The 10,335-nt window shown below is 56.7% G+C and overlaps 1 protein-coding gene and 1 long non-coding RNA gene across 3 annotated transcripts in view, besides 3 other annotated features; one reads left to right on the top strand and one right to left on the bottom strand.

The window, feature by feature from the left end:
• Positions 241-846: an enhancer, noted in NCBI's record as "H3K4me1 hESC enhancer chr1:180923653-180924258 (GRCh37/hg19 assembly coordinates)". NCBI's record gives its function as "activates a minimal SCP1, AML or CMV promoter by ChIP-STARR-seq in primed H9 embryonic stem cells {active_cell/tissue: H9 hESC(primed)}" and the evidence as "EXISTENCE:reporter gene assay evidence [ECO:0000049][PMID:30033119]".
• Positions 476-5,673, top strand: KIAA1614-AS1 (KIAA1614 antisense RNA 1). Its single transcript, NR_145481.1, has 2 exons — positions 476-695; positions 4,445-5,673. It is a non-coding gene; the product is annotated as a KIAA1614 antisense RNA 1 (long non-coding RNA).
• Positions 882-1,421: a silencer, noted in NCBI's record as "silent region_1597". NCBI's record gives its function as "represses an Ori minimal core promoter by ATAC-STARR-seq in GM12878 lymphoblastoid cells {active_cell/tissue: GM12878}" and the evidence as "EXISTENCE:reporter gene assay evidence [ECO:0000049][PMID:35858748]".
• The window catches only part of KIAA1614, a 38,718-nt gene continuing 32,131 nt past the window's right edge, over positions 3,749-10,335 (bottom strand). The window contains exons 9-10 of one of the 2 annotated variants that reach the window (NM_001427641.1): positions 9,876-10,060; positions 3,749-5,023 (exon numbers count right to left, since the gene is read on the bottom strand). In NM_001427641.1, coding sequence (NP_001414570.1) covers positions 4,830-5,023; positions 9,876-10,060 — 379 coding nt within the window. In that variant the 3' untranslated portion in view covers positions 3,749-4,829. Of the gene's footprint in view, positions 10,061-10,335 lie in introns of both variants that reach the window. The other variant, NM_020950.2, reaches the window with a different exon arrangement.
• Positions 5,388-5,938: an enhancer, noted in NCBI's record as "H3K4me1 hESC enhancer chr1:180918561-180919111 (GRCh37/hg19 assembly coordinates)". NCBI's record gives its function as "activates a minimal SCP1, AML or CMV promoter by ChIP-STARR-seq in naive H9 embryonic stem cells {active_cell/tissue: H9 hESC(naive)}" and the evidence as "EXISTENCE:reporter gene assay evidence [ECO:0000049][PMID:30033119]".

Raw genomic sequence — 10,335 nt, 5'->3', positions numbered from 1 at the left:
GAGCCATAACCCACTTTAAATTACAACTCGGTACACACTTGCAGAAGCATTTCTCAAAACCTAACCTACCCTTGGCTTGTATAAAGCACTCTAATTTTTATTTTAATTTAATGTTGGTCTCAACCCACAAAATTGCTTTTATAACCCATGAGTGAATTGTGCCTGCAGTTTGGAAACACTGCCCTGGAAAGGGATCTGCCTGCTCTTCTCCAGCCCCACTTCCCAGAAGAAAAACCAAAATGAGAGCCCCTGCGTCCTGGTGAAGGTCAGTGGCGGGCAGGCCAAGCAGGGCCTCCAGAGCTGCTCGAGGGCCTCCAAGGGAGGTGAGCTGCAGAGGGACCCAGGAGGGTGGAAGGATGCTGGCTGGAAGTCACAGAGGGCCAGGTTCAAATCCTGCCTCCGCTTTTGATTGGCTCCCAGACCTTGGATCTATCTGTGAATTAACCTTTGAGCCTCGGACTCCTCGTGCGTTAGCCTGGTATAATAGTCTCTCTCTCGCAGTGTTGCCGTATGGATTCAGGGTGATTTAATGACCTCAACAGAGCTCTGGAACATTTGCGTAGCTGGCAGGGCAAGGCGAGGGACAGCCCAACGAAGGCAGGTCCTTGAAGTCCTGGTTAACACTGGTTTCCAAAATTCGAGCCGGCCTGCGGTTTTTCCAGCACGCCTGAAAGCTGGGGACACTCATGCACCAGGTACTCATTCCTGCACACCCCGCCCCCGCCCCACGGACATGAGGGTCCATAGGTCGCCCCACTTCCTCCCCATCCCTCCGGCCAGCTCCAGCTCATCCTCCCAGTCTGGCTCGGCGCGCCGCCTCCACATCACCTTTCAGCAAGGCCCGGGACCGTGCGGTGCACCAGTAGGCCCCGTCCGCCTCCCCAGCCGTGCGTTTCTCAAAGGCAGGGTGAGCCCAGCAGTGTGTGTGCGTGTACGCGTGCGCGCGTGTGCTGGGGGCGGGGTTTGCAAAACTCCCGCGAGCCCGCCCTCCCTCCACCCTCAGGCTGCAGGCCCCCGCGGCTCTAACAGCCGGTGCCCTGCTGGACACACCCCGCCTCGCGGAAGCGGCCTTGGCACGAAGGCCCTGGCGACCCCCAGGCAGCGCAACGGGCCGCTCCCCTCTCACCCCCGCCCGCGCGAGGCCCCGCGGGAGGACGCGGACAGAGGCTGTTGGCTGTGCTGCCTGGCCCCACGCCTCCTGTCTGCGCGGCGGGAACACTCCGCGGGCGGCCGCGTGGCCGGGAAGGCGCGGCTGGCGCGGAGTCTGCGGGTGCAGAGCAAGCGGCCGCCCGCTGCCTGCCCTGGCCGGTGGGGACAGCCCGCCCTGCCAGGGAGACTTGGGGGGGCACCGGAGTCGCTGCGAGGTTGCCTCTAGTGGCCTGAGGGCGGGGCGGGCGCGGGGCAGCTGCTGAGGGCACAGTCGCCTCCTGGTCGCAGGGCCCGCGACAGACCCCGATTCTCCCTCCCGGGACACCGGGTGCCAGCTGCGGATATCTCTCGCCGCCGCTGCACCCCGCAGCGACAGAGGGGGGCCCCCGGGAAAGAGGGGAAAACCAGCCGCCGCCCGGGACGCTGGTTCTGCGGGTGGCTTCTGAAAATGCCCCCAAGCCCCGAGGAGACTGAGGTGCCTGAGGCAAAGGGGTGCCACTTTCTGCTCCGTGTAGTCCCAGTGTCAGGGGCCTTCTGTGAACCGCGGGAGGGACATAAGTTAGACACCGGGAATACCCACACCTTTGCATGTGGCTGCTTCGTTTCTGTGCCTGAGCCACTTGGCCCTTGCTGTAGCTTCCTACTCGTTTTACAAAGCCCTGCTTGTGCTCACCTGCCCGGTTGGCGCCCTTGCCAACTACCCGGCCAACCACGAATCACGGCCCCAGGCTGTCCACAGGCTACCCACAGGCTACACCGGCTGCAGCTCCTCTTGCAGCATACCCTGCATCCGGCGCTGTAATGTGTGTGTGCCTCCCCCTGGGCTGGGGCCCCTTGAGGCTGCGGGTCTTTCTTAAGTCCGGGGGCTCTTGCCTGGCCTAGGCCTGGTTCCTGGTTAATAAGCTCTCAGTAAGAAGGTTCTGATGGCCCAGGCACTATGGCTCAGGCCAGCACTTTGGGAGGCTGAGTCGGGCGGATCACATGAGGTCAGGAGTTCGAGACCAGCCTGGCCAACATAGTGAAACCCTGTCTCTACCAAAAATACAAAAATTAGCTAGACATAGTGGCAGGCGCCTGTAGTCCCAGCTACTTGGGAGGCTGGGGAAGGAGAATCACTTGAGCCCAGGAAGCGGAGGTTACAGTGAGCTGATACTGTGCCATTGCACTCCAAGCCTGGGCAACAGAGTGAGACACTGTCTCAAAAAAAAAAAAAAAAAAAAAAAAAAAAAGGTTCTGATGTTCCAGTGTGTGAGGCAGGGCTGCCCTAGGCCTTCGAGGTCAGCAGCTCCCCAGGCAGGCAGATGCAGGCAGTTGGGGAAGGTCAAACAGGAGGCTGGAGGAACCAAAGCCCCCTCCCATTTCCACACAAGGCAGGGCCTGCACATCAGGCTGCCCCAGGGAGAAGCTGGGATGCCAGCGCCTTTGCCTCCTTGGAATTAGGTCACCGTCCAGAGGCCTGGGAGCCTCCAGTGTCCCGCGTGCCTCGTGCCCCTCCCCTAGCACCAAGCCTTTTCTGGCATGGGGAGGCAGCTGCAGTGGGAAAAGTGGGCCCCAAGTCAGAGGGGCAGGATTGCATGCCCTGTCACTGCTGCTGAACTTGGTTCCCCATCTATGCAAAATGAAGACAATGAGCAGGACATACCTGGCAGGACTATTTAAGGACTAAGTATGTCACCAGCCCGGGAGGTGATACGCCTGAGGCCTTTTCCCGTCCTCCCAGCCCCAGCCACCCCCTTCCACCTCCTCCCACCTGGGAAGGCAAGTTGTCCTTTTCAGAGAAAAGTGGAGCTGTCTTTGGCCCCCAGGAGCTTTTCTCAACATGAAATTTCTCCAGTTTTGTGACCTTAGGCCAAGAATTGCAGTATAGGAGGAGCCAGGGTTTCTCCACACTTGAAGTTTCTTGCTGTGGGCTCATTTCTACACTTTGAAGAGTGCCAGTGCCCTCTTCACAGCCTGAAGCCCCAAGCACTTGTTCCTCTGGCCCCTCTGCTCACCTGCCAGATCCCCCTAATTCCTCCTCCACCCCCCTACCCCATTCTGTGAGCCATGGGGCTCAGCCCCTCCCTCTCCTCCCATGGGCATCATGAAGACAGGGTTCTACCTGGCTCCTGCTGCAAAGGCCCTGGGTGGGGGAACACACTCCCAACACTGCACAGGACTGCCTCCCCACCCCCACGACCTTGTCCCTGGGCCACAGGCCTGCTTCAGTGTTCTTGCCCAATGAAAGCTGCCCTGACACTCTTTTAAACCCGATTCTGCTGAGGGTTGGGTTTCTTGGTTCCAGGATTTTTTTTTTTTTTTAACCACAGCTGGCACCCTGGCCAGTTCTAAAACAGCCCTGAACTTCCTATTCCACTCCTCAGTTGTGCCCAGCTAGAGTCCCTTGGCTTCTTCTCTCCTGGTCATAAACCTTGTCCAGGGCTTTTCTTTTGCCAAAGGACGGTCTGGAGGCTTCTGCATCTACCCTGGCTGTCACCCTAACCCGTGGCCTCCCCAGCCTTTCCTCTGGCATGCCCACCACCAGCACCCCACTCCCTGGTCCTGCCCATGGCTAGTGAGGGTCAAGTGAGTGTCCAGCCGAGAATTTAGCAACTCAGAGTGAGAGAAGCTTTAGCTTTGCTTTTTAGTAAGTTAAGACTGACACATGGCCATCCACTCCCAAAGAGTCCCAGCCCTCCAGGCAGCACTGAGGCCCAGGCAGATGGCCCAGCCGCGCTCTGCAGCTTCCCTGCTGCCCACCCACCCACCTGCCCACCGACAGCACCGCCAGGAGGTCTGGGCAGAAAGCATGCAGCTGTGATGGCCAGGCACCTGCCGCAGCCCTGTCTCCAAGCTGGACAGAACTAAGATGGAGGCTGCCACAGGTCAGGTTGCAGCAACTCTTGCCTCCACCTGGGCAGAGGCAGCGGCCGGGGTGGCATGGGGCTGGTCTGGCCGGTCCCACTAGCTGGATCCTGGCTACCACAGTAGCACGTCCTGAAATTGGTCTTTGTTGTTGTTGTTGTTGTTTTCAACTTTATGTATAAAAAAATTTTCCTAGAAATTTTTAATATTCTGGCTACCAGATAACATCTCCCAGAATTCCCACACCCCGAAGGGGCATAAAACTCCTGCCAGACCACACGTTCTGATTTTGGTTTGGCATATATGGTCAATGGCTGTAAGGCTGGTATTCCGGGACACTTTGCCCATTTCTGGATAAAGGGCAAGGGCAGTGAATGGAGTAGGGAGGAACGTGGCTGAAATAGGGAAGGGTCAAGGCCAATATGGACATGTGCTTTCTTTGGTTCCACAGTGTTGGAGGCTGTAGCCTTTGACCAGGCATGGGACCAGGAGGTGAGGCCGGCTCTCAGGCATCAACCAAAGGATCCACTGAATCTCCCTTCTCCCCCTGCCAACAAAGGTACAAGTAGATGTTGACACCCCCTCAGACATGGAAGGAGACCCATTTTTTTCTTTTTCTAGTTCTGGATAAATGGCCTTAAACAAAATATGCAAACAGGCTCCTTGCGTCTCCCAAAGGCAGCCCACCACAGAAGCCCTGCCACAGCCCAAGGGGTTAGATGCTGCCAGGATCTGTTTCCGCCACAGAGCAGCTCTGTGCAGCACGTTCCTGCCAACCACCCTGAGTGCTTCAGGGCTTCCGAGGCCGTGACAGTGAGGGCAGCGGCACTTCTGGGTCACCGTGGGACAGGTCTCTGCCTCAGGACACGGATTGACAAGCTCTCTGAGTGGGCCAGGAGCTCCTTAATGTGAGCCAAGCCCAGCCCTGCCACCTTGGCCCCGTTCACCTCGAGGATCTCATCGCCCACCCCCAGCAGCCCTGAGTACAGCTTGGCCATGCTCATGTCAGCCATCTCCTGCACGTAGATCCCTGCAGAGGAAAACAGGAGAATTTCACAATGACACCCAAATCGAAGAAGTGCATCTCTGGAATGCTGACCATGTTGATGAGGTGCTGTTTGTGTGGCACAGGGAGGAGGTGCTCATACCAGGCACTTCTCTGTGCGCATGCACACATACACACACCCCTCATTATTCCATCTCACAACCACAACTGGCTTTAGACATAGATACAGTGCGCCTCCTCCATGGTCTAACTCCATTCCACTGTCTCTGCTTTTAAAGTGGAAATGCTCCTAGTGCAAATAACGCGTTAAACTGTTGTCATTTATTTATACCTGACAGTGAGTGAGCTAATCTTTTTCTGAGATGAGCTTTTCTTGTAGAATTGGGAGGAAAATAGTTTTTAAAAATTAGGAACCATACCTACTCAGTGCCTGGCACTATGATCCAGTTGCTGCCTCAGGTCACCCAGGCCCAGCGTAAAGGCCGGGGTGGTGGGAAGGTATCATCGGAAGAGCAAAAGTGGCTGAGCCACATCCAAGCCTGGTTTGCTGCACTCTATTGCCAAAGACTGACACTGGCCTCAGTCTTACTCAGATATGGCTCCTCAATTGGGATGGGGAAGCATCTGAGCAAAAAACCCCAGGAAAAATAAAAATTCTAGCCACATATTTCAAAGCTGCGGTGGCTCCCTCTCCTCTTCTGCACATGCCCCCTCCTCCCCACCCCAAAGAGGCCCTGCCTGGGTCTAGAAGGTGCCAAGAGCCAGCCTGCGGGAACTAGCTTCTCTGCTTCTTTGCCAGGCTCCGGCTCTCAGGGAGCCCCCCGTCAGTGGGGCAGGCCCTGTGGGGCTTGGGCTGGCTGGGCTGGGAAGTGTCCAGCTGAGGAGGCCCCCTGCCCCCAACCCCCGCCCGCCGGCCTCAACCGCGGCTGGAAACCTTTCAAATTCCCCTCCAGCTGCTCCCACCTGGGAGAGTAAGTGAGGTGCTGGCTCTCCCAGGGCAGGCTGGACCCCCTGATGCCCATGCTTCATGCTGGGTGGACACAGGGGCTGAGACACAAGCTGAGTTTGCTGGAGGGACTGCGGGGCACACCCCTGGTGTGGGCATCAGCACTGGCGGAATTCAGGCTGCTCAGCGCAGCCTTTGGCACCCTCGCTGTTCGCAGCCCAGCTCGGCTCACTCTGCATTTCAGACATGAGGCCACTGCCCACGCGTTACTGTCTTCACTTCCTTTTCCTCGAATCAGGTTCTTAGCAGGGGCCCGAAAGGGCATCAGGTCTGCTCCTCAATCTCTGGCTTGAAACTAGTCACCACATCTTGGACTAGTGGGAAGTCCTCTCTCGGATCCCCCAGCCCCGTAGGAGCTTTGGGCAGCCCAGCCTGTGGCCCTGACAGAAGTCAGGCGTTTTAAAGCCTGCCTCTGAAGTGTGGGTTTGAAAGAGCACTGATCTTCACCGAAGTACCTGAAAGTCTGTGGCTCTGAATTTAGTAAATCCAATCTTTGTACACATTCCCCCTCCCTGGTCTGAGGTGTAGAATCCCTTTTGTTGCTTCTTGGCCAAGCCGAGCCTTTTCTGTGGGGCTGTCTTCCCTGACAGAGTACATCTGCCATCCTGACTGTACAAGGCGTTTTCCCTCAGCCCTGTCTTTTACCTCCTCTAGATGGACCTTTCACTGCTTGCCCTCCCTGTCTACGGGTTGGTGGCACGGGGAGGGGGCAGGTAAGAAGGGGCCCCTGGGGCAAACCCAGAGAAGTGTCTGATGTGCTGTGGGAGTTGCAGGTGGGGACTAATGATAAACCCTGAAAGAATGCTGCCAGAGCTAGGCCAGACACTGACGTCACGCCTGCCATTTTGGGGAGACTCGGGTAGGTTTCGCAACTGAAATTCGTGACACAAATATGACAGCCTGCTGTCATAGGCATTTATTGTCTGCTGGAAATGGCCTTTGTTGAGGATGTGTGATCTCTATGTTGTATCCAATTAGAAGCAGAAGGCAAAGCCTGCTGTTCTCACAGGCTCATATAGAGTCGGATGTGAAAGCCAGCAAGTTAATACCAGCATCCTGCCGGTTCAGTGCGGGGCGCAAGCCAGCCCTCCTCACAGCCCCTTGGAGCCTGGAAGAAGCGACCCTCTGCTGTTGGAGGATGGCCTGGGACACGGAGGCCCCAGCACTCGCCAGGCTTCATGTGCGTGGGGACCCCTGTGTGCCATCCAGCGCCCATGATGGCAGCAGGACCAGGGAGTGCCTGGGCACAACGGGGAGCTGGCACCAACTCAGGCGAGGGTGCCGGGGGCCCTGGGTCACTAGAGACCCCTGCCCATCAGAGCTCCCTGACGGGTGACAGGGAGGGGCTCCCACTGCCTACAAGGGAGCAAAAAGGGACTCTGGGGGAGGGTGGGCGGCAGAGTACAATGACCTGTTGTGTGTGCACTCACATCGACAGGTGAATGCGGATCACGCTGGTCCCTGTCTGGGGTTCTCTTCCCCAGACTTTCTCTTTCTGAAGGGGAGGGAAGAAAAATGCTAGGCCCTTTCCTGTGTGCCTTACCAAATGCTCCTTATGACTCTTCTAGGTAGGTTTTGTCATCCTCATTTCACAGATTAGGGAACTGAGTGAGGCTCAGTGGGGATGTCGCCTGCTCTAGATCACATAGCCAGCAGAGGTGCCGGAGCACAAACATGCTGCGTTGTCTGCCTCTGCCTTCACACCACCTGTCCGGGGGGCCTGTCCTGCTCCCCTAACGGGAGAGGAGGCTACGGGAAGGCCTGTGAGGAAGGACTTTTTATCCTCCTGAGGTCCAGAGTAGGCAGAGACCTGTCCTCTCTTCCTCTTACATGTCCAGCTCATCAGCAAATAGTCAAATCAACCAGAATCCAACCCCTGTCCCCTCTCCCCTCTCCCCATCTCCACAGCCGTTCCCAGTCCAGGCACCACTGTCTCTGTCCTGGACTGCTGAAATAGCTTCAACACAGGGCTCCCTGGCTCCACCCGTGTCCCACTGGGGTCTATTCTCATAGACATTAGAGAGTCTCAGTGCTCGCTCCGAGCCCTCTAGTGGCTCCCATCTCATTCGGCATGAAAGCCAAAGCCCCTTACAGTGGCACAACCCCATCTTTCCAAACTCTGCTCCTCCCAACCCGTTGCCTGCTCTGCAGTGTCCAGCCTGACCCTCACAGTTCTCACAGGCCAGGCTCGCCCCTCCACCAGGGCTCCGCACTTGCTGTTCAGTCTGCCGGAATGCTCTTCCCCAGACACCCATGGGGCCCCTTCCTCGCCCCATCCACGGCCCTGCTCAAGTGTCATCTTCTCAGAAAAGCCTCCCCACACTCCTGTCTATACCAGCACCTGCCACACCTGCTTTATCTGTCTGTTTCTCAGAACTTTCTTTTCACCATCTGACATACGTAGCACATTATACATAACAAGAGTACACATTTTATAGATACAATCTAACTGCTCACTGGGTAGTATATTCATGAGGATAGGGATTTGGTCTGTTCCATTTACTGCTGTATCCCCCGTATCTATAACACATAGTAGGTGCTTAGTATATATTTGCTGAAACAATGATGGAACAGACATGAGAACTCATGCTGTGGTCTGCAAATGTGGTAGCAGGCAGACTTTTTTCCAGGCTAAACAGCATTGAGCTAGGAGATCAAAGCACAGGACTCAACCCCCCATCGGCAGAGCCCGGCCGCAGCAGGCTTCTGTGTTCGTCTTTCTGTATCTGTCTCTCCCTTTCTCTCTCCTTCCTTCCCCTCCCCTCCTTCCCCACCCTCACATACGTGTCTTCCTTCCCTGATCCTCTGGGGAATGTCTTTTATGGGCCCTTGAGATGCATTCTGGACCACAGACCTTGGGCGTGGGCTTTTGCAAGTCACGTTGCCCTGAAAGACTCATGGATGGGGTGGAACTGAGAACTGGTCAGAGTGCAGAATGATGTCCAGGACTTCTCCCTGCCATTGCCTGGGTTGAATTGAGACCCAGAGCACACCCCAGTCAGAGGCCTGCAGCCAGGATTCATCTGAACATAATCATCGGGCACAGGCCTGAGGGAGGGACGGGATGCAGAGACAGACAGGCATGCTCCACGTGCCCAGACATACTCCACAGCCGGAGGAAAGGAACCGTTTCAACGCAGCCACATCAAAGGGACTGCTGAGAACCAGCAGGCACAGACAGTTTCCCTCTGGCTCTCCTCTGCAAAGATGGCCTTCAAAATTCTAATTTATTTATTTCTTTTTTTTTTTCCTTTGAGATGAAGTTTTGCTCTTGTTGCCCAGGCTGGAGTGCAATGGCGCAATCTCGGCTCACTGCAACCTCTACCTCCCGGGTTCAAGCAATTCTCCTGCCTCAGCCTCCCAAGTAGCTGGGATTATAGGCATGCGCCACCACGCCCAGCTAATTTTGTATTTTTAGTAGACATGGGTTTCACCATGTGGGCCAGACTGGTCTCGAACTCCTGACCTCAGGTGATCCAGGCGCCTCGGCCTCCCAAAGTTCTGGGATTACAGGCATGAGCCACTGCGCCCGGCCTAAGCTTCTAATTTCAAGATGTCATCAGACAGCAGGGGGACAGTGGAGTCAAACCTGCCAACTCTACCCCCTCCCGCACACTCCCCACCAACGCACTCTCAGCTGCAGTTGCCTAGGGCAAAGGCTCTGCAGGTGCAGACTCCTAGAGAGCCCTGGACAATTCAGAAAGAGCCCCTGAGGGGAGAAGCCTAGTCCTGTAGTCAGAGGCTTTCTGAATTCCCAGAGCTGCACGGCTCAGCCAAAGACCAGAAAAGCCTCTGACCACAGCCAGAAGGCCCTGCCTTGTTTGCTAAGGCCGCCCCAGCCATGGGGCTGAGGAAGAGGAGAGGGCATACCTGAGTCTGGGCGCCCATTCCCAGAGGCCACGCAGAAGCCGAAAGTGCCCCCTGGGGAGCGCTGCAGCTGCAGCTGGCTGGTGCCGTCTGGGAACACCTCCACCAGGCGGCCCACGGTGCGAGCCAGGCTGGGAGCACCCACGTCCTCCACACTGAGGGCACGCCGTGGTGAAGTCTTGGCCGGCCTGCGAGGGAACCAGAGACACAGTGAGGGCAAAAAGCATCAGGCACTGGGCACAGCTCTTCCCTGGCTTACAGATGACCGATGCCTCACAGACTTAAGAGCCTGGCATTGGAGGCTGGGGTTCTGCTGACTTCAGCCAGCAAAAAGAGCCTGCTAGGGCCAAAACTGGTGGGTTTCCGCCGCTGTGCAAGGCCCCCCAAGGCCTGCTGTGGAACTAGAAACCCCACCCTCCCAAAGCAGTGGTTTCAAATTTTGGGGGGTACAGAGACCTTTGTA

The sequence above is a fragment of the Homo sapiens genome, chromosome 1, assembly GCF_000001405.40.
Source record: "Homo sapiens chromosome 1, GRCh38.p14 Primary Assembly".
In the NCBI taxonomy this organism is placed as follows: Eukaryota; Metazoa; Chordata; class Mammalia; order Primates; family Hominidae; genus Homo; species Homo sapiens.
This window is presented reverse-complemented; position numbering and strand designations above follow the sequence as displayed.